This window comes from Homo sapiens, chromosome 17, assembly GCF_000001405.40.
Source record: "Homo sapiens chromosome 17, GRCh38.p14 Primary Assembly".
Lineage (NCBI taxonomy): Eukaryota > Metazoa > Chordata > Mammalia > Primates > Hominidae > Homo > Homo sapiens.
This window is the reverse complement of record NC_000017.11, coordinates 320,947-341,683: the sequence shown is the minus strand read 5'-3', so window position 1 is coordinate 341,683 and position 20,737 is coordinate 320,947. Positions and strand designations below refer to the sequence as shown.

Here is a 20,737-nt window from a genome sequence, read left to right as displayed (position 1 = left end):
TGTATGGTGTCATCTAAGAAATCATTGCCAAATCTTAGATGACACCAAAATGTAGATGACACCTATTTTTTGGTGTCCTCTAAGAAATCACTGCCAAATCTGAAGTCATGAAAATTTACCCTGACATTCCTTATACGAATTTCATAGTTTTAGCTCTTGCATTAGGTTTTGATCCGTTTGAGTTAAATTTTGCAATGGTGTGATGTCAGGGTCCACGTCATCCTTCTGCAGGTGGCTCTGCACTTGTCCCAGCAGATGTTGTTGGAAGGACTGTTCTTTCTCCGTCGTATGGTCTCGGCATCCTTGTTGAAAGTCAGTTGACCACGGATGTATGGGTTTATTTCTGGGCTCTCAGTTCTATTCCAGTGCCACAGTTTTCAGTACCATATGGGCAGGAGGCATCCTGCTCTGAGGGAGTGTTTGGTCCAGTAGGAGAGGTCAGACACGTTCACCAGAAACTGCGAAGTTCTGGGAAGAGGTAAAAACAGTGTGCTTATGAGGACGAGGCAGCGATTGCTTCAGCCCTGGGCAGTAAGTGTGGATGTGGGGAGACCTGGGCAGGGGCAGTGAGTGTGGATGTGGGGAGGCCTGGGAGGGGGCAGTGAGTGTGGATGTGGGGAGACCTGGGCAGGGGCAGTGAGTGTGGATGTGGGGAGGCCTGGGAGGGGGCAGTGAGTGTGGATGTGGGGAGGCCTGGGTGGGGGGCAGTGAGTGTGGATGTGGGGAGGCCTGGGAGGGGGCAGTGAGTGTGGATGTGGGGAGGCCTGGGTGGGGGGCAGTGAGTGTGGATGTGGGGAGGCCTGGGTGGGGGGCAGTGAGTGTGGATGTGGGGAGGCCTGGGAGGGGGGCAGTGAGTGTGGATGTGGGGAGGCCTGGGTGGGGGGCAGTGAGTGTGGATGTGGGGAGGCCTGGGTGGGAGGCAGTGAGTGTGGATGTGGGGAGGCCTGGGTGGGGGGCAGTGAGTGTGGATGTGGGGAGGCCTGGGCCCAGGGCAGTGAGTGTGGACGTGGGGAGGCCTGGGTGGGGGGCAGTGAGTGTGGATGTGGGGAGGCCTGGGAGGGGGGCAGTGAGTGTGGATGTGGGGAGGCCTGGGTGGGGGGCAGTGAGTGTGGATGTGGGGAGGCCTGGGTGGGGGGCAGTGAGTGTGGACGTGGGGAGGCCTGGGTGGGGGGCAGTGAGTGTGGACGTGGGGAGGCCTGGGTGGGGGGCAGTGAGTGTGGATGTGGGGAGGCCTGGGTGGGGGGCAGTGAGTATGGATGTGGGGAGGCCTGAGCCCGGGGCAGTGAGTGTGGATGTGGGGAGGCCTGAGCCCAGGGCAGTGAGTGTGGATGTGGGGAGGCCTGGGCCTGGGCATGAGGTATGACACCAGGTGTGTGTTTGTCTGGAGACAAATTTGGCAAGGCACGGTGGAGTCTGTGGATGGCCATGAACTCCCAGCTGAGGACCCTGGGCTTGATTTTGAGGTGTTTGGGTGGAGCGGGGCCTTTGGAGAGCCTGTCTGATGGCAGGATTGGCCGGGTCTGAGCTGGGGAGCCTGGAGCCAGGGGGACCCCTTAGGACTATGGGGTGACTGAGGAGGTCTGGGTGACACCTGGTTCAGGCAGTGGGTCTGGTGGGGAGCAGGGGCTGTCTTTGAAAATGCCCCAGGGCTCAGACACCAGCTCCTTTGTGCCTCTGCTCTGAGGGCCTAGGCTGGGACAACAGTGGCACTGAGGGCTGGTGACTGAGGTCCCACAGGTCCCAGCCCCTGCCTGCTCCGGGAAACAGCCAGCCCGTCTCCTCTGCAATCCCCTTCAGGCTGCCCCGGCCCAGTTCTTCTCAGAACTCCCGTTTGGCCAATTACTGCGCGACTTACAGTTTCTGGGAACTCTGTGCTCCCCGCTGCTGGGTGTGTGGCAGGTGCTCGGAGAATACCCGGCTCATTGCTTTCGTTAGGCACCTGTAGGCACCGCACCTGCAACCCGACGCCTTGGGAGGAGGAGGGGGATAGAAAGCACCTGGGCTCAGCCCAGCTCCGTTGGGCCAAACTGGGCACCTGGTGCCAGCTTATGGGGCCTTGGGCACGTGGCTGCCCCTCTCGAGCTGGTTTCTTCTTTTCTGAAAGGAGTGATGATCACGTCGTCCTCTGGGGCTTGTGATGATTCCAGTTGGTCAGCCAGTGGCGGGCACCTGGCAGGTGGGCAGCACCCATGGAGGCGGCTTCTTCCTCTCCCAGTTTGGTAGTGCAGGGTCAGGCTGGGCACGTGTAGGGATGTTTGTTAACTTGGGGGCCCCTCCTAGAGGCCCTGAAAACTCCTAGCTAAGTGCCAGTGGTTCTGTCTGACCCTTCCCCCTGCCTGTCTTCTCTGTAGCAAGCCATGTTCTGGGGTGGCCCCCACTGTTGCCTGAGCCCTCCGCTGGCCCTCTTATGGGCATTCTCACTTATTTGGGGTCTTAGCCTCTGCCAGGAGAATGGGTAGTGTGCAGAGAACCGGACAGCTTGTTCCCAGGCAGGGCAGTGCCTAACCCTGGAGTTGCAACAGAGAAACGCCTGTTTGTGTTTCTGTGAGCAAGAGGAGACAGCTGGGCCCACAGATAGCAGGCGAGGTCAGCCGGGGATGGCCTTGGCTGCTGGCTGTAAGCAAACCCTGGCTCTGGTGAGGTGAGGGGAGGAAGGTTGGAGAAGTACCTGGCAGGACCCGCGGAGAGCCACCTGGGAGCTGGAGTCTGGGCTGGGCCGTGCAGAAGCTGCTGGCGGAGGCAGGGGTGTGGGACGCTGCCCCCCGGGGCCTGGAGCACCGCCCTCAGCACACCTGAGGACTGGGCCTTTTCCAAGCGGGTGAGGAGGGTTGAGGCTTCTTTTTCCCTAGAAGCTTCTCTGCTTCATGGAGAGGTTTCTCTTGGGCTCCTTCAACAAGCAGTTCCCAGGTGGGAGCCGAAATCAGGTTTCCTCTGCAAAGATTCTGCCTGCCTGGGACTTTCCAGACCCACATACATCACGTAAATGGAAGCAGGCCTGCGTTTCTGCATTAAAAGACAAATAGCATGAATGCTCGATACTGCCCGTCCCAAGCCAGGTGCCCGGCAGCCTGGGAGCACTTGGGCATTTTCTGGGCAGAGAGTGCTCAGGGGCCACAGGTACCTACGTATTATTCTGGTCACGTTTGCAGTAAGTTTGAATTTCATTTTCTCTTCTCTCTTTCTCTCTCTCTCTGTGTGGTTACCCTGTAAATTTTTTTTTTTTTTTTGAGACAGGGTCTTGCTCTGTTACCCAGCTGGAGGGCAGTGGTGCAATCATGGCTCACTGCAGCCTCCGTCTCCTGGGCTCAAGTGATCCTTCTCAGCCTCCTGAGTATCTGAGACTACAGGTATGTGCCACCATGCCCAGCTAAGTTTTAAATTTTTTGTAGAGACAGGGTCTTGCTCTGTTGCCCAGGCTGGTCTCGAACTCCTGAGCTCAAACGATCCTCCTGCCTTGGCTTCCCAAAGTGCTGGGGTTACAGGTGTGAGCCACCACGCCCAGCCTGGTTTCCCTGCTGTCACCACCTTCAGCTCTGTGACTGCCTTGATACAGCAGTTCCACCTACACTGTTTCAGGCCTTTCAGAAAAGACAAAAGCAAGCTATGCCTCTGGGGACACGTAGGCAGAGCTGTGGCTGTTAAAATCTGAGGGCTGGCACTTGAGATGGGGGAGAAGTAGGTTATTTCACATCTCATTTGCATTGGAGGCTTTGCAGAGTGTTTCTGCCTGGGAATGAGAACAGCGTCAGATGAAGAGACGAGCAGGGATTTGGGGTCCACTGGAGCGGGAGTTGCCAGTCATTAAAGATGCCCAAGGATTTACTTTCCAAGGTTAAAAAAGACCCACAGGATTAAGTGAAACCTCCTACGTGTGCCCCATGAGGGGCCTTGCCGGGGTACAAAAAAAACCCCTGCCCAGCCCTCGAGCAGCGAGACTGAGCGGCTGGGCACGGGCCTGGTGCCTCGTCAGCACCCAGCGTGTGTGTGTTGAATGAACGAGGCCAAGGAAACTGAGAGGTGCCGCTGTTGGTCCTGCCGAGGACAGGAGCAGACGCTTAGCTCTGTGACCAAGTTGGGGTGCCTCCTGGACGGGGTCCTGGGTGGCATGTCCAGGATTGCTGCTCCTCAAAGCACACAGGCAAGAAAGGCTGCAGGAGTCTTAGCAGGGGCTGGAGGGTCCGTAGAGAGCCCGTGTGTGGCAGAGGGAAAGAGGCAGGTTAAGGAGGCCAGCGAGGCTGAGCCTTATGCCGTGAGGCGGTTTTTAAGATAAAATTTTGTTGGCAGGCTGGGTGTCGTGGCGTACTCCCATAGTCCCAGCTACTTGGGAGGCTGAGGCAGGAGGATCATTTGAGCCCAGGAGTTTGAGACCAGCCTGGACAACAGAGCAAGACCCTGTCTTTACCAAAAAATTAAAAAATTAGCCAGGCGTGTAGTTCTAGCGACTTGGGAGGCTGATGCGAGGATCACGGGAGCCGAGGAGTTGGAGGCTGCAGTGAACTGTGACTGTGCCACTGCACTCCAGCCTGGGCAACGGAGCAAGACCCTGTCTCAAAAAAAAAAATTATTGGTGCGTAACCGATGTACGTAGTTCCAGTGAGTGGCAAACTCTTGACGGTTAAATTAGTCCCCTGAAGGGGTACTGGACCCACCATGTCTGGGCATCGGGGTAACAGGTAAATGCCCCCGAGGATGCGGGCGGAATGAAATGCTGACGGGAGGGCGGTGGGCTCAAGCCGAATGGGAGCCTGATGGGAGGAGCTGGAGAATTCCCAGGGGAGGTGGTGCTGGGCCACCCCCAGGTGGAGGAGGTAGACAGCGTGAACCAAAGGCGTTCCAGGTGAGAGGGTGCCGGAGACAAGGCTGGGCGGCTGCAATGCCTCAAGGTCCTGGTGGCTGGAGCACCAGTTTTGCAGAGGGGTGGCTGGCAGAATGCAAGGGTGGTTTGTGCCAGATCATGGACGGCCTTGAGGGCAGCTAGGGCTTGTTTCCTTAGTAGTGGGGAGCCACCGAAGGTTTCTGAGCAGGGGAATCACACGGCCTGACCTGGGCTGTAAGGATGGTCTCTCTGGCTGTACGTGAAGAGGGGCAACGGGGAGCCCCAGCAGGTTCCAAGGCAGATGAGGAAGATTTGCCACGGTCTGGGCAAGAGAGGAGGAGCATCGGAGCTGGGAGGAGGGGGAGCCGCCCCGAGCAGGCAGACCTGGCAGGGTGCCCGGGGGCGGTGGAGTTTGAGGGAGGTTTGTCAGGCACTGGTTTCCCCGGGGCTCCTGCTTCAACTCTGGAATCCACTCGAGCCCGCTTGGTGCATAGTCAGCCTGCAACGCTTCCGAGTGAGTGGTTCTTTGGGCGTTTAGACAGGCCTTTGAGGCTCCCTCTCTGAGTCTTTAATCCTCCCAGCGCCGCCTGACAGGTGGAGGAAATGTTGACGTCTGGGCTCACCTTATCTTGCTGCCCTCCTCGTGTTTCCCGTGTCATAGTAACAGAGCAGATGTCAGAGCTGTTGCTAAGGGTCCCCTCGGATATTAATACCTTGTGTTGGACGAAGGGCTCCCACACAGTGTCTTCGAGGCCTCGGGAAGCACCGGCTCGGTGGCAAGTATTCTTTTATGTTTGTCCCAGCTTCTTTTCCCTCCTCTAAACCCCATCTCCTCCCTGTCGCCCTGGCCTAGGCACAGCGCCCAGTGGGATGGCACACTCTGCAGCAGCAAATGTGCAGCCGTTCTCCCTCCACGCCGGGGGCAGACGTGACTAACAGATCACAGCATGCTTTCCTACGGAGGCTGGAGGCAGCCTCCAGCCCCTTTTCAACCCAGCCCTCTGGGCGCCAGCTCAGATTTAGCACTTGGGATGAAGCCTCTCTTCCAGCCCTGCAGGCGCCACCTGCGAAGCCTCCAGGCCCTCTCCACGGGGTACTTCCTCTGGCACCTGGGAGGGGAGGGGAGTGGGTTTTGCTTGCCTCTTGTGTCTCCTGTTTGCCTCCCTCGTCTGGTCTTTTGGCCTTTCCACCACAAGTGGAAAATCAAACTGAATAGTTCTGGACATTGAGGTCAGGGTTGGGATTTTATCAGCCAGATGCCATTTTTATCCGTTATATATTGCTGGGGTAACACTGCATGACAAGCATACCTGTCCAAACGTGGGGGCTCACGACCACCATTTATTACCCCTCCTCAGTCTACGGGCCGGCCGGGCGGTTCTGCCACTCTTGGCCGGGCCGTGCATTTCATTCTAAGCATCGTGATGCAGCGGCTCAGAGGGCACCAGCCACCCCTGGTGTGGAAAATGCACTTGAGCCCTCTCTCTGTGGCCGACACCAACTGGCGTCCTGCAGCGCTGGTGTTGGCCTTCGCACGTGGGTGTCCTAGGCACAGCGACTTCCCCCAGCCCCTCCGTCCGCCGCCTCCTTCCCACTGTTCACCCTGCATCATTTCCTTTATTCTCACCATAGAGATAGTCTCACCCGGACACCTGCACCCTCATACCCGGGCCCCCTTTGTCACAGTCGCTCGGGGGTCACAGTGTGGCTGTGCTCTTGGGAATGCGTCCCCAGCCAAGCATATCTGCTGGTCTCAGGAGCTCGGGTATGCTGCCCACGCTCACCGTGGGTCGGACCCTGTGGCTGGATGAAAGCGCGCTCGTTCGTGCCACACCCTAGGAGTCTGAAGCCTCAGTTATATCAGTGAACGTGTCCCTGAAACAAGATCGAAGAGGTGAAAATGCCAGGGTGTAAGGTGGGGAGCGATCACAGCCCTGGAAGAAGGAGGAGCCGCACTTGCTGGGGTGGTTGCCTTGTCCCTGTCCCTGTCCCTCCGCAGTGGATGGGCTGGCCCTGGGGGAAGGCGTGGGGAGAAGGAGCCGCACTTGCTGGGGGTGGTTGCCTTGTCCCTGTCCTTGTCCCTGTCCCTCCACAGTGGATGGGCTGGCCCTGGGGGAAGGCGTGGGGAGAAGGAGCCGCACTTGCTGGGGGTGGTTGCCTTGTCCCTGTCCTTGTCCCTGTCCCTCCACAGTGGACGGGCTGGCCCTGGGGGAAGGCGTGGGGAGAAGGAGCTGCACTGGGTGGGGTGGTTGCCTTGTCCCTGTCCTTGTCCCTGTCCCTCCACAGTGGATGGGCTGGCCCTGGGGGAAGGCGTGGGGAGAAGGAGCTGCACTGGGTGGGGTGGTTGCCTTGTCCCTGTCCTTGTTCCTGTCCCTCCGCAGTGGATGGGCTGGCCCTCGGAGAAGGCGTGGGGAGAAGGAGCTGCACTTGCTGGGGTGGTTGCCTTGTCCCTGTCCCCCCGCAGTGGACGGGCTAGAGACTCCGTGGGTGTTTGCCGGGCTTCTCTGAGGCAGGTTGTTTTGCCTCCGGATATGTTTTTCAAAGTCTGATACGTGTTAGAGACAGACAGCTGCGGGCGGCTGTTGTTTTTCTCACTGTGCTGTGGCTGCTGAGAGTTTTGGAAGGTCAGGGTCGAGCCGCGGTTCTCCTGGAGTGATGACTATGCGCACTGCTTCCTAGCCTGTACGGGGATGAGCTCCCAAGGCCCGTTTACGGGACCCTGTAGTCGGGGCGGGGAACAGTCGGCTGGAGGGGTGTCATGTGACCGGCCCCAGCCACTGGTCACTCAGGGCTCTCAAGCCAGTGCTGGCTTTACCAGCTTCTGAGCCCACAAATGCTGTTAAGGAGATAGAAGCCTTCTTTTAAGTAGATGCAACTGTTTGCAAAGAAGAGGCCCTTTATTTTATTTTATTTATTTATTTTTTTGCGAATAGAGGATCGTCTGCCTTATTGAAACCATCTAATTGGAGATCCGCAGATTAGGCTACCAAGACACAGCTGCCTCCAGCAGAATTTGTGTAGTGGACACTTGTACGTGCACTTTGGAGACAGCAAGCATGAGGCCTGCAGCTGACAGCTTTGAGTGGCTGTGAACCTGACTATGGAAAAGGTATCTCAAAAAATACACTGAAAAAATGCACTTCATTTCCCTTTTGGGAACTTATCCTAAGGCAGTCGTCAGAGATTTATCTGCCAGGATGTCCATTTCAGTGCTGCATATAATCGAGCAAAATTGGAAACAATCCATGTGCTCCCAAACAGGAAGATGGTAAAACGTATTGTATTCAGAATACTAAGTTATAGTTTAAAATCATATTTTTAAAGAACTTTAATACTGTGGGAAAGCACAAGGTGGTTTAAAAAACCAGCAAGCAGCATATATAGTAAGAACCCAATTTTATTTAGAAACCAGCAAGCAGCGTATGCAGTAAGAACCCAATTTTATTACAATTTGTACATAAATGCCCAGGAAAAGTTGGAAGGTGCTACATTAAGGTGTTAAGAGTCGCCATGGGGGTGGCTGATGTGAGAATTTAAGGTGTTTTCTCTTTAGGATAAAATATCCTACCGCCCCCAGGAGTGACCACGTGAGGCTGCATAATGGCCGTCTCTGTGTCTGCAGTGATGTCTGCAGTGACGAACGCCCGGGGTGGTGAGCTCTAATGGCCTTCTCTGTGTCTGCAGTGATGTCTGCAGTGACGAACGCCCGGGGTGGTGAGCTCTAATGGCCGTCTCTGTGTCTGCAGTGATGTCTGCAGTGACGAACGCCCGGGGTGGTGAGCTCTCGACTTTAGAGAGAGAATTGCATCCTCCTGGAAGAAGGGGTTGTTTTTACCGATCTGTCTCAGGAAGTTGCCTGGGGCTGATGAGCCTCTGTCCCCTAGGAATTTTTCGGGAAATTATCACCGGCAACTCCTGTTCCGTTCCCTGTACCCCTCGGGTCCTCCTAGTCCCTGTACTGCGGGGTTTTACAAGGGTTCCGGAACATCTGCCTGCTGGGCCGGCCAGCCCGAGTGCTGCCTCTGCTCAGCGTGTGTCGCCCGGCGGGGTCGAGGTGGCACCAGGAGGTCTCAGCTTCCCAGAGGAGGCTCCTGGGGGCACCAGCCCCTCAGCAAGGAGCGAGCTCAGCCGTCAGGTGGAGCTGCCTTGAGGCCGACTACCCCGTGGGGAATCTTGAGGGACAAACGGCCTGTGAGTCAGCAAGTCGCAGAGCCTGGTTAGAGTCCAGCTGTCTGCTCTGAGCATGTCTGGGCTGTTTTCTGAATTCTTCCTTGTCTGGGAAAGCCACATCTCTCTGATGAAATACAGTTGAATTAAATGGATATTCCCTGAGCACCTACTTTGCAGCAGGCTCTGTGTGGGCATCAGGAAGGGAGGGAAGGAGGAGGATGTAGGGACCCTCTAGGGCACCCAAGGTCCAGCAGGGAAGGAGAAATGGAAATTTCATGTCGATAGAACTGAACACTTCTGGGCGGGCTCCTGGGTGGATGCCCACCCTCTCCACGAGGGGCTTGCCTTCCCCATCAGCAGCCTTGACCTATGTGCTCATTGAATATGCTCCTGTACACACACACGCGCACACACACACGCTCCTCCTTCCCCAGCCTCTTACCTGTCCCAGCTGGTAGGACCTCAGAGACAGACCTGGCCCTGGGGATCACGTCTCTAGTTTACGGAGGAAGTGGCCAGAGCTCCACCAGCCCTGTCCACAGAACCTCCTGTGTCTGCTCCCCGCAGAGCTCCACCAGCCCTGTCCACAAAATCTCCTCCGTCTTCTCCCCGCAGAGGTCCATCAACCATGTCCACAAAACCTCCTGCCTCTGCTCCCCCCAGAGCTCCACCAGCCCTGTCCACAGAACCTCCTGCCTCTGCTCCCCAGGCCAATTCCATCCTCCCTCCTGAATTTGGGGGTTTGCCTTCCCTGCTTTTCCACTCACCTTCTATAAGGCCCTATTTTGTTCCCTCATCAGTTTAATTTTTGTCCAGGACAAATGGTCATACCTGAGTACAAGGGCGCAGTCTGTGTTTAATGCACAGGGCACTGCTCTCTGGAGTTTTCAGGACCCTGCTTTTAAGAGAGAAGGGTCAGACTTTCTGCCCTCTGAGCCCAAGAGGTGAGTGCTGAGTGGTGGCGAGCATAGTTTACCCACTGGTGAAGGGGGTGCCGGGCATGGGGGTCGGCTGATGAGGCCCTCCTTGCTGCCGAGTCAGGGAGCCTCTGCATGCTGACGAGGTTTGGAGAATCGAAACTGGCTCCGTGGGCAGTTTCCTAAAATGTGCCTCCTCGAGTTGCCCTTCCTCTCCCACCATCTGTCCCGAGGTTGCTCCGTGCGAGTGAAGGACAGCTGTGCCTTCTGAGGTGCCAGCCACGGCCAGGGTGGGGGTGCACAGCCGTCCCAGAGCCGGGGCCTGAATTCTCCTGGGTCCTCATGTCCGACCTTTGCTCAGGGCCACCCCTGTGAACGTGGTCAGCCACAGACTTGCCATCAGTGATGAACCTGCCCTGGCGCTGCCCGTGGCCCCAGCTCTGGAGGCGACATCCTTCCGTCTCCCTTGATCTCTGCAGCATTTGGCTCTTTCCGTCTCCCTTCATCTCTGCAGCATTTGGCTCTGTGGCTCTTCTGCCCTGAAGCTACAGCAGTGAGAGGGGTGGGGACATGTAGGAAGCAGTTCTCGCGGCCTCCTCCTCTCTGTCCTGTGGACTGGGCTGGGGAGGGCTCAGTTCCCACCTCCCACGTGGGAGCAGCCAGCAGCCTGCCTGCTGGCTGCCTGCCTCCCTTGCCTCCCTCGCTTGCCTCCCTCGCCTCCCTCATGTAACTCAGCAGGGTCCAAATCAGGCATTGAAATTGCAGGAGGCGGTTGCTCCGGCCTGTCTCAAGCTCTGTTGGGTGCCGATGGGGAAACTGAGGCTCAGGAAGACAGTTGACTTGTTCCTGGACTTCTAGTAAGTTTACATAAAAGCCAAAATTTCACAGATCTTTTTTTTTTTTTTGAGATTATGTCTCGCTCTGTCACCCAGGCTGGAGTGTAGTGGCGCGATCTCAGCTCACTGCAACCTCCACCCCCCAGGTTCAAGCGATTATCCTGCCTCGGCCTCCCGAATAGCTGGGATTACAGGTGCGCGCCATCACGCCTGGCTAATTTTTGCATTTTTAGTGGAGACGGGGTTTCTCCATGTTGCCCAGGCTGGTCTCAAACTCCTGAGCTCAAGGGATCCACCCACCTGAGTCTCCCGAAGTGCTGAGATTACAGGCGTGAGCCACCCCGTGTGGGCTGTAGTATATTTTAGTGTTTACTTTGAAAAGAATAATGCTTTGTACACCCATGTGGAGCAGTGTGACTGCACAAGATAACTGAAGTTTTTAAAAAGCAAAGCAAACCATAGTGCTCTAAAGGCTGGGATGGGGCACTGATTTAAAGTTGTTTGAGGACGGTATCATTTTTGACCTGTCTTTCCTTGCTTGTCCATTAGCCTCATCTGGGAGAAGATTGAGCCTCCATCTGAGGAGGTCCTGGGTGATCTGGGCCCGGCCATGGGATTTCCACGCTTGGCTGTTTGGGGTCTGGGGCTGCCCAGGTCTCTTTGCTGAGGCAGCTCACTGGGGAGGGTCAGGTCTGATCTGGAAGAGCAGGTGCCTGGACATGTGCATGGGGTAGAGCGACCAGTGTGGTTAAGGTTGTGGCCTGGACCCTGTGTGGTCAGGCGGAGGCGGTCTGCATGTTACCTCTGCTGGTCATCATAGAAATGGGTGGCACTGGCCGAGAAAAGCAGTTCTCCAAGCTGGGCCCAGGCCTCTCTGGGGGTCCCCCAACACCCTCCGGAGATCCACAGGTCAAAAGTGTTTCCATAAGAATAGTCATAGGACTCTGGGTTTTATCCTGTCACAAATGTACAGAAAAGGAGAAGTTCATTGATGTGGTTTCAGATGCCACATTTGAACTAATCTTTAAGAAATTACCATCTGTTGAGTTTGGGTGCAATATCAAAGAAAAATATTTACAATTTCTGGAAAGTAAAAAAAGTCCTCCTCTTTTCAGCCATCATACGTATTTGTGAGGGTCTGGATGTCCTTCAAGGACTTCAGCGAAACAACCTGCCACAAATGCGTGAATGAAAAATCAGATATGAAGGTCCAGCTGTTTTTTGTGAAGTCAAACATTAAAAAGAGTTGTAAAAATGTAAAACAGTGTCATTTGTCTAATTGCTTTGTAAGTGTAGTTTTTCATAAAATATGTAAATTATGTGAACGTCTAATGGGTTTATTATTTTTAATGAATTAACAACATTTTAAAGATTTTCTCAGTTTTAATTTCTAGTGTGGTAACTAGCAATGGTCATAGCCCATGTATTTTGGAGTTCTCAAGAATATATGTATATCTATATATTTTTTGAGACGGAGTTTCGCTCTTTTTGCCCAGGCTGGAGTGCAATGGCTTGATCTCGGCTCACTGCAACCTCCACCTCCAGGGTTCAAGCAATTCTCCTGCCTCAGCCTCCTCAGTAGCTGGGATTACAGGCACTCGCCACCACACCCAGCTAATTTTTTTTGTATTTTTAGTAGAGGCGGGGTTTCACCATATTGGCCAGGCTGGTCTTGAACTCCTGACCTCAAGCAATCCTCCTGCCTTGGCCTCCCAAAGTGCTGGGATTACAGGCCTCAGCCACCATGTCTGGCCTGTGAATGAGTTATAATTCATTTTTTTTTTCATGGTCTGTGTTTGTGCTGAAGTTGTAATTCACATGCCATAAAATTCACACTTTTAAAGGGTGCGATTCAGTGGTTTTAGTGTATTCTTGAAATGTGTGACCATCACCACTGTCTAATCCAGAACATTTTTACGACCCCAAAAAGAAGTCCTGAACCCACTGGGAGTCTGTTCCCCTCTTCCTGCAACCCCTGACAACCACTCCTCACCTTCCGTCTCTCTAGATTTGCTTATTCTGGACACACTGTATAAACGGAATCATACAATACGTGGTCTTTTATGACTGGCTTTTCTTACTTAGGATGTTTTAAAGATTCATCCATGTTGTAGCTGGTATTAGCACTTCATTCCTTTTTACGGCCAAATAATAATCCATTGTAAATCATACTCCATTGTAAATAATAATAATCCATTGTAAATAATAATCCATTGTAAATCATAATCCATTGTAAATAATAATCATCGTATGGATATAGCACATTTTCCTCATTCATCAGTTGATGGATATTTTCGTTGTTTCTGCTTTTGGCGGTCATGAATAGTGCTGCTAAGAACGTTTGTGTACAGGTTTTGGTGAGGACGTATGTTTTGGGTACTCTTGGGTGTGTAACTAGGAGTAGAGTTTCTGGGTCATATGGTAAGTCTGTGTTCAACATTTTGAGGAAGTGTCAAACGGATTTCGAACCTGGATCTTTTTTAAGAGTGTAAAGGGGCCCTGGGTTTGAGAACCACTGGCCTAGCTGGGATTAGACCAGGAGAGTGTGGATGGCTCAGGAGAGCCCCTCCTCCTTGCTCTGGGATTCAGATACCCTCGGCCTCATCCCACACTCCCTTCAGAATGCACGCGTGGCATCCTCAGACCACCAAAGACAATCCTGTCCTGGGAGGCAGGGAGAAAGCCGGCACACTAGACAGTGCACAGGTGAAGCCCTCAGGGGGTCCTGGAGCAGGGCCACCTCCCTGGGGGATCCCCAGGTGCCATTTTCATGGCAGTGTCTATGGACGGCTCCCCTTGGCATGGTGCTGGGTGGCAATCCTGGCTGTAGCTGCCACCCCCTGCCCTCTTGCCTGCCCTCGAGGGCATTGTGATCATCGGTGTGAGTCTGTTGGGAAGGAGAGCCAGGTCCCCAGGTTTGGGAAAGGAGTAGGGTTTCCCAGCCTGTCTGGCCATCACCCCCCAGCCCAGCCCCTCCTGCTGGGTGACGTGCTCAGTTCGGCCCCTGCTGTACTGGGAGGGGGCAGGGAGCAGATGGCCTCCAGGGTTGAGTTGAAAACTGCTAAGGGTGAGCCTCCTCTCTCCTTTCTGACTCTAACCTTTTGATGCCCTGCCAGTCATGTTCACTCTTGTCACTCGGCCACATGATCCACCTGGTCACCCTCCTAGAATCATGAGCCTTCTGAAGAGGAGCCTTGAGGGAAGAGTGTTTTGCTGGAGAGATGGTTCCCACAGTGAGATTCCAGGCATCAGTGGGGATCGTGCATGGAGATGGTGTGGAGGGGCCTGAGGGCACAGAGAACCTGTCTGCCATCTGTACCCCAGCCAATGATGCACACTCTTTCGTCTTCCCTCCTTCATCTCAGATGTGACTCCCCACCCCCAGCCGGGTGCTCCGAGCCATGGCCGACACCATCTTCGGCAGCGGGAATGATCAGTGGGTTTGCCCCAATGACCGGCAGCTTGCCCTTCGAGCCAAGTGAGTACCTCTGGGGCCCCCCAGGCCGTCCCTTCCTTCTGCCTCCCTGCTCCTCTCCTGTCTTCAGCAAGATTCATTCCCAGGGGCCCAGAAAGAGATGTTTGGAGAGAGGTGCCTGTCGGATGCATGCCACACTCCAGGCCCTGGACACAGCCATTCACTCATTTAACTACCATGCAGAATTTATCCCCATTTCCCTGATGAGCAAAGTGAGGCTGAGCTCCTTGCCCACATCACTTAACTTGTGGGTGGCAGGGCTGCAACCCACACCTGGGTCCAGCTGACTCCTTAGCCTGTGTGTCCTTTCTATCAACAGGCTGTAAGGGACCCACACCACCTCGTGTGCCTTCTCTCCTGTCACTGAGCTGTAGGACTGCAAGTCCCTTAAGACAGGGAGATTTTGATCTCTGGATGCCCAGTCATAGCCCAGTGCTTGGCACTGTCAGACGGGGGAACAAAAGTCTGTTGCAGTGGACGAGGCGCTGCCCCTGAGGCTGAAGCACAACCAGCCCCAAGCTGCCCCAGGGCCTTCTCTGTGCTCTCCTGAGAATCTCGCTAGTTCCTTGCTTCCAGTTTCTTCCCTTGGGGGTCCTGGCTTTCTTTTTTCTTGTCGCCCAGGCTGGAGTGCAATGGCACGATCTTAGCTCACTGCAGCCTCTGCCTCCCTGGTTTAAGCAATTCTCCTGCCTCCCGAGTAGCTGGGATTACAGGTGCCCACTACCACAATGGGCTAATTTTTGTATTTTTAGTAGAGACGGGGGTTTTACCATGTTGGCCAGGCTGGTCTCGAACTCCTGACCTCAAGTGATCCACCCGCCTTGGTCTCCCAAAGTGCTGGGATTACAGGCGTGAGCCACCGCGCCTGGCCCTGGTTTTCCTGCTGTCCCTCAGCCTAGTGACCTCTCAGCTCTGGGTAGGTCAGGCCATCTCCACCGACTGTGCACTGTGGCTGGAGATGGGGGTTCTCAGATGCCTTGCCTGCCTTCCAGTCCCTCGCTGTCCCTCAGAGGGGCTGGGCGTCTCTGGCATGTGATAAGTCCAAAAGGGCCCCTTCATCCTTCAACCCATGCCAATTACGGGAGCAAGCATTTCCCAAGTGGGACCAAATTAAAAAAAATTGCAATTAGATGTTATGAGCCTGCAGGGGACAGAGCTGAAACATCAAAGGGGGATGGAAAGATTAATTCGAAACGCCCCAGGAGAGCGGAGTCATGCGTGATTTGCAGGAATCTGCACCACAGTTAACTGGTCCCCTTCGCCAGGAGGGCTCGGCTCCTTCATGCGGCCCCCGCAGTGGGTGAGGTCGGTCCGTCTCCCTCTCTGTCCTCTGACGCCAGGCAGATGAAGTGTCCTCCCGGGCAGGGTAGGAGTTTCCAAGGAGAGCTCCGCCACTGTGCTCTCGACAGGGCCCAGCAGGACTCCTGACCCTCCAGGGTTCCCTTCAGCTCTCCCTGACCTTCTCTCTCTCTCAGCAGCAGCCAAATGCTGTCGTAGCCCCTTTGGAAGAGAGAATGCTTTTATCCCCTCCCCTGGGGTGCACTGCCTTGTAGTACCTGGCACAGTCTCTGGAAAGGAGAGGCGTACTAAACTCCAGCCGCAGAGCTGGGAGCTGTGTCCCGTGGGACCCTCAGGGATATCTGGGCTGCAGCTCGGGGCTCCCCTCAGTCCTCCAGCTGCCACCAGATGTTTTCTAAACCCCTACTATGTGCCAGGCACTGACTGCACAGCAGTGAACAGGACCAACACAGTCCCTGGTCTTAAAGCACAGGTGGGCAGAGGTGAGCATTATTTGAATAGTTACCCAGGTAAGTTGCTTTGACGGTGATAACAGGCGGTGGGGACGTGGGTGAAGGTGTGACTTACTCTGGGGATCAGGAGGGGCTGAGAGTGTGCTGCCTACACTGGGACCCAGAAGATGGGCCAATGTTAGATGGGAGTAGGGGGGAAGCGCTTCCAGGCAGAAGGAACAGCATGTGCAAAGGCCCTGAGGTAGAAGGAACAGGGCATGTGGAGGCCCTGGCCGGAGGTCAGTGTGTTGTGAGTGCAAAATGTGAAGGGTGGACAGTGTGGAAGGAAGATGGAGAGGTAGGCAGGGGCCAGGGGCAGGGCCTGGTCCTCCAGAGACTCATGTTCCGGAGGGGAGATGGAGGGTTTCATGTTGTCTCGTAATAATGTGTCAGCCCAATGAAGGACGTATACCCAGGCCTTCCAGGAACTCTGAGAGTAGATTCTTTACCTGTTTTGGAGGGGATCAAGGAAAAGCCTCCAGGTGAAGGTCATGTGTAAAGAAGTCTTTAAAAAGAATAGGCCGGTCGCGGTGGCTCACGCCTGTAATCCCAGCACTTTGGGAGGCTGAGGCGGGCGGATCACCTGAGGCCAGGAGTTCTCAAGACCAGCCTGACCAACGCGGTGAAACCCTGTCTCTCCTAAAAATACAAAAATTAGCCGGTCGTGTTGGCACACACCTGTAATCCCAGCACTTTGGGAGGCTGAGGCAGGTGGATCATAGGTCAGGCATTTGAGACCAGCCTGGCCAACATAGTGAAACCCTGTCTCTACTAAAAATACAAAAAATTAGCCGGGTGTAGTGGCACATGCCTGTGATCCCAGCTGCTCAGGAGGCTGAGGCAGGAGAATTGCTTGCACCTGGGAGGCGGATGTTGCAGTGAGCTGAGATTGTGCCATTGCACTCCAGCCTGGGCGACAGACCGAGACTCTGTCTCAAAATAGACATAGATAGATAGATAGATAGATAGGTACATAGCTAGCTAGCTAGATAGATAGAAAGATAGAAAGAAAGAATAGGAGTGAGAGGTGGACAGAAGGTTTAGGGAGAGAGACAGGGGCCCCAGGTGAAGGGTGCAGCATGAGCAAAGGCCTGGGGACTGCACGAAGCCTAGAACACAAGGGAGCCACTGGTGAGCTGAGAGACGAGGGCGCCGTGCGGGGAACGTGCAGGGGAAGGACAGGTGGGGCTCCCAGACGTGCAGGTTCTTCCTGGAGGTTGCAGCCCATCGATGTCAGGTGCCCTCAAGTCGGCCTCCGTCAGCTGCATGGAGGGGACATTGCAAGGGGGTGGGCAGCATGCTCAGTGGAGCTATGGCCGCAGGCGGGCATCAGGGCCTGGCCTGGCAGCAGGTGAGATGAGAGGACGTGGATGACTGGGGCCCGGAGGCGGAGCAGGTGGAGGCAGGAACGTGGGTGCGGAGGCGGCCCTGGGGGAGACTGAAATGCTCCCAAGCAGGGCTGTCAGCAGCTGCTGGATACGAACTCGGCAGGTCAGGGCTCAGGCCTTGAGTCAGCGGTGGAGGCCAACCCGAGATTCCTGCTAGCTAGCTACGTTCCGCACCTCGTTTCCTCTGAGAAATGGGGCGGGGTGCCTCAGGGTCCGGGCCTGCCTCGCCGCGTGGCTGAGGGTCTGGGCCTTACAGGGCGACTCTGAGGGTCTGGGCCTGCCTTGCAGGGTGACTGAGGGTCTAGGCCTGCCTTGTGGGATGACTGTGAGGGTCCAGGCCTGCCTCTCGGGGTGACTGAGGGTCTGGGCCCACCTCACCGGGTGACTGTAAGGGTCTGGGCCTGCCTTGGGGGGTGACTGAGGGTCCAGGCCTGCCTCGCAAGGTGACTGAGGGTCTGGACTGTCTCGCGGGGTGATGGAGGGTCCGGGCCTGCCTCGGGGTGACTGTGAGGGTCCGATGGAAGACATCTGTAGTGTCCTGTGCCATCACCAGCCCCAGAACAAGCTCGTGGGACCCGTGTCCATCAGGACAGGCAGTGGTGGCGGTGCTGATGCTTCTGTCCCTCCTTCTGTGTGTTCCTGGGACCCTTCCTTTCTCTACATTAGCTGGAGGGTGGAGGGAGTGGTGATTCCCTGAACCTGGGGGCCCTGGCTTCCAACTCCCTTCCCCTGGCCCGGGAACCACACGAAGTGTGTCCTGGCCCATCACTGACCCCTGGAGCCTCCGAAATGCTCAGATGGAACAAACCAGTAGGTAGGGGTTGTGGAGGGGATATTGCTTTTTGGGGCCTGAACCCCTGCATGTGTGCAGTTCATAGGAGCAAGGCAGGTAGTCCAGGCAGAGGCTGCCCACTCTACTGGCCTTGCCCCCCTTCCAGCCCTGCCCTGCTGCCCCGGTATTTTCCTTCCCCAGCACCGTGAGCACTGCTTGGAAAGCGTTGGTCTAGGGCATTGCAGTTTTTTTTTTTTTAAATTGGAAAAACCGGCAGTGTAGAAGTATGGATCCCTGAAACACCACACACCACCCATGCCCCCTGCCTTTCGTGTGTGATCTCCTCTGCCTGAACCCGCCTCCCTCCTTCCATGGGGAAGCACCTGTTCATCCTGCAAAAGCTCACACATGGTAAAGCCATGCCTGACAGCCCTCCCCATGATAATTACAGTTATCACTATTAACGACCATTTGCAGGCAATTGGGAATTTGCTATGTAAAAGCACCTTATCTACCCTGCCTCATTAATTCTCATGGCATCCCTTAAAGAGACAGATCAGAAAACCAAGGGTGAGAGCCTCATCCGAGGTCTCGCATCTGGGAAGGGACGGGACCAGAAGATAAGACTGTCCAGTGGACTCCAAACCCTAGATCTTCACATTCATCAGCCCCCAGCTCCCCCTGACAGAGAAAGGATATGCGTATTAGCTTTCCAAACTCCTATTGTGTCGGCCACAGAGAACCGTTAGCTGCAACAGCCGGGACCAGGCAGGACATGAGACCACCGGGGCCCATCTTGTGTCAGGGGGCCCCCAGGAAAGGGTCCGCCTCCCTCAGCCTGCTGCCCTAGGTCCTGCCTCCAGGACTCTTGCCTTCTGACACTTCCCTAAAGAAAGCGAGCCTTTCCAGAGCCTCATCCCCTCCCTGCTGGGTAATTCTCTTATTTATCCACTTCCTGACCCCACCTGCACGTCCCACCAAGCAGCCTGTCCCGGGCACCTAAGAGGCCAGGCGTCCCAGCGGGTACTTGGTAATGCGTAGAATGAAAACGCCTTAGACCTGTTAGTTAAATAGGTATCTGTGTCATTGATTGGCATCTGCCACCCCCACCATATTGTAGTTCTTCAGGGTGCAGTGGCTTTTCCCGTCTCGTTCATCTCTGCACACAGCAATGTCACAGGCACGGAATGTCTCAGGGAAGCTGGCACCCACCCAGGGCAGGGGCTCCGGGGTTTGATCTGCTGCTGCCACTCTCTCCCTGTCCAGAAAAATAGAAGGAGTTTGAGTCCTTCCCCCGCCCCATTTGCAGCCTCAGGAGGCGTCAGTCCCGCAGCCCAGTGGAGCAGAGACAGCTCAACCTCCGGACCCAGTCCCAGCCCTGCCTCGCCGTTGCCCGCCCTCACCTGCCCTCACCACGGCTCCTCTTCTGTAACTCGCTTCCCCCCCGCCTCGAACCTGCTAGTTTTCAAAGTGTTCATATCAACGCTGTGTCTTCACCCTAATTACATGGCTTTCCTGTCCCCTGGTGAACTCCGTCTCACTACCTTACGGAGCTCCGAGCTCCCTTTTTCTTCTCTTGATAATCTCTCATGCTCCTCCCTTGACACCTCTCGTGCTGTGACCTTGGCCTTCTCTGTGTACGTGAGCGTCACATTCTGTGTTTCTGGCTCCCGGGCTAAGGTGGTGCTGCCGTCTTTGCCAAGGCCCAGGAGCTGGCGGATGGCAGGGCTGGCGCTTGGAGCCTGTGTCTGCCCCGTCTCTGTTGCCCGCGTGCCTTGCCCCCTGCACACGGCACCTGGGCCGTCTCTGTTGCCCATGTGCCTTGTCCCCGGCACACAGCACCTGCCCCGTCTCTGTTGCCCGCAATCCCAACCCCGGCACACGGAACCTGGGCCGTCTCTGTTGCCACCTGGGCCGTCTCTGTTGCCACCTGGGCCATCTCTGTTGCCACCTGGGCCATCTCTGCTGCCCGCGCTCGTCGTCCCGGCACGCGGCACCTGGGCCGTCCACTGACTGTTCTCGGGGGGGCTTGGTGGATGTGGTAGGGGCTGCCGGAGTTTGCACCGGGGAGGCCTCCACGCCGTCTGTGCTGTTCCCTCTCGAGGCTGCAGACGGGCTGGTCCGTGCACACCTACCAGACGGAGAAGCAGAGGAGGAAGCAGCACCTCAGCCCGGCGGAGGTGGAGGCCATCCTGCAGGTCATCCAGAGGGCAGAGCGGCTCGACGTCCTGGAGCAGCAGAGAATCGGGTGAGGCGGGGCCGGGGCCAGCTCAGTGGGAGGACAGCAAGGGCTTTGGCGCAAGCGCAGGGGACTGGGAGGCCGGCACTCCGGGTCCTGGTTTTGCTATTTACCTCTGGGAGTGGGTGAGGAGGTCCCTGACTCCAGCCCTTGCTGAAGGGTGCTCTGTCTGAACTCTGGGAGTGTAACCCAGCCCGCTGAGGCCTCAGGACACCCCTCTGTGAGACGGGGCTGCTAGCTGAGCTGTGCGCCCCATGCTGAGGGCGTGAATGAGCCTGGTGAAGCCTCCCAGGAGCTGTTCGGCTGTGCACACCTGCAGGTCAGCTGTGGTTCA

General features: G+C 55.9%; 1 protein-coding gene and 2 long non-coding RNA genes across 8 annotated transcripts in view, besides 8 other annotated features; 1 reads left to right on the top strand and 2 right to left on the bottom strand.

Annotated features, from left to right (window-relative positions):
- Nucleotides 1-20,737, top strand: part of RPH3AL (rabphilin 3A like (without C2 domains)) — a 140,419-nt gene that overhangs the window by 11,124 nt on the left and 108,558 nt on the right. For 2 of the 4 annotated variants that reach the window (NM_001190412.2, NM_006987.4), the window contains exons 2-4: nucleotides 7,750-7,925; nucleotides 14,105-14,217; nucleotides 20,269-20,412. In NM_001190412.2, coding sequence (NP_001177341.1) covers nucleotides 14,141-14,217; nucleotides 20,269-20,412 — 221 coding nt within the window. In that variant the 5' untranslated portion in view covers nucleotides 7,750-7,925; nucleotides 14,105-14,140. The remainder of the gene's footprint in view (nucleotides 1-7,749; nucleotides 7,926-14,104; nucleotides 14,218-20,268; nucleotides 20,413-20,737) is intronic. The other 2 variants (NM_001190413.2, NM_001190411.2) reach the window with 1 other exon arrangement.
- Nucleotides 287-2,745, bottom strand: LOC105371425 (uncharacterized). The gene is made up of 3 exons (XR_942215.3): nucleotides 2,669-2,745; nucleotides 1,856-2,235; nucleotides 287-468 (listed from the first exon to the last, which is right to left on the bottom strand). It is a non-coding gene; the product is annotated as an uncharacterized LOC105371425 (long non-coding RNA).
- Nucleotides 2,452-2,746: an enhancer, noted in NCBI's record as "tiled region #2375; K562 Activating non-DNase unmatched - State 10:DNaseD". NCBI's record gives its function as "activates a minimal TATA promoter and a strong SV40 promoter by Sharpr-MPRA in K562 cells {active_cell/tissue: K562}" and the evidence as "EXISTENCE:reporter gene assay evidence [ECO:0000049][PMID:27701403]".
- Nucleotides 4,681-5,455: an enhancer, noted in NCBI's record as "H3K4me1 hESC enhancer chr17:186020-186794 (GRCh37/hg19 assembly coordinates)". NCBI's record gives its function as "activates a minimal SCP1, AML or CMV promoter by ChIP-STARR-seq in primed H9 embryonic stem cells {active_cell/tissue: H9 hESC(primed)}" and the evidence as "EXISTENCE:reporter gene assay evidence [ECO:0000049][PMID:30033119]".
- Nucleotides 4,681-5,606: a biological region, named in NCBI's record as "Sharpr-MPRA regulatory region 15212".
- Nucleotides 5,312-5,606: a silencer, noted in NCBI's record as "tiled region #15212; K562 Repressive non-DNase unmatched - State 20:ReprD". NCBI's record gives its function as "represses a minimal TATA promoter and a strong SV40 promoter by Sharpr-MPRA in K562 cells {active_cell/tissue: K562}" and the evidence as "EXISTENCE:reporter gene assay evidence [ECO:0000049][PMID:27701403]".
- Nucleotides 6,232-7,006: an enhancer, noted in NCBI's record as "H3K27ac-H3K4me1 hESC enhancer chr17:184469-185243 (GRCh37/hg19 assembly coordinates)". NCBI's record gives its function as "activates a minimal SCP1, AML or CMV promoter by ChIP-STARR-seq in primed H9 embryonic stem cells {active_cell/tissue: H9 hESC(primed)}" and the evidence as "EXISTENCE:reporter gene assay evidence [ECO:0000049][PMID:30033119]".
- Nucleotides 7,007-7,783: an enhancer, noted in NCBI's record as "H3K4me1 hESC enhancer chr17:183692-184468 (GRCh37/hg19 assembly coordinates)". NCBI's record gives its function as "activates a minimal SCP1, AML or CMV promoter by ChIP-STARR-seq in naive H9 embryonic stem cells {active_cell/tissue: H9 hESC(naive)}" and the evidence as "EXISTENCE:reporter gene assay evidence [ECO:0000049][PMID:30033119]".
- On the bottom strand, nucleotides 8,196-10,165 carry RPH3AL-AS1 (RPH3AL antisense RNA 1). Of its 3 annotated transcripts, none has more exons than NR_164141.1 (3): nucleotides 9,963-10,165; nucleotides 9,818-9,884; nucleotides 8,196-8,628 (listed from the first exon to the last, which is right to left on the bottom strand). It is a non-coding gene; the product is annotated as an RPH3AL antisense RNA 1 (long non-coding RNA). The 3 variants fall into 3 exon arrangements; NR_040011.2 differs by having other exon boundaries at nucleotides 9,967-10,165; NR_164142.1 differs by having other exon boundaries at nucleotides 9,818-9,881; nucleotides 9,967-10,165.
- Nucleotides 9,740-10,318: an enhancer, noted in NCBI's record as "H3K27ac-H3K4me1 hESC enhancer chr17:181157-181735 (GRCh37/hg19 assembly coordinates)". NCBI's record gives its function as "activates a minimal SCP1, AML or CMV promoter by ChIP-STARR-seq in primed H9 embryonic stem cells {active_cell/tissue: H9 hESC(primed)}" and the evidence as "EXISTENCE:reporter gene assay evidence [ECO:0000049][PMID:30033119]".
- Nucleotides 10,319-10,899: an enhancer, noted in NCBI's record as "H3K27ac-H3K4me1 hESC enhancer chr17:180576-181156 (GRCh37/hg19 assembly coordinates)". NCBI's record gives its function as "activates a minimal SCP1, AML or CMV promoter by ChIP-STARR-seq in primed H9 embryonic stem cells {active_cell/tissue: H9 hESC(primed)}" and the evidence as "EXISTENCE:reporter gene assay evidence [ECO:0000049][PMID:30033119]".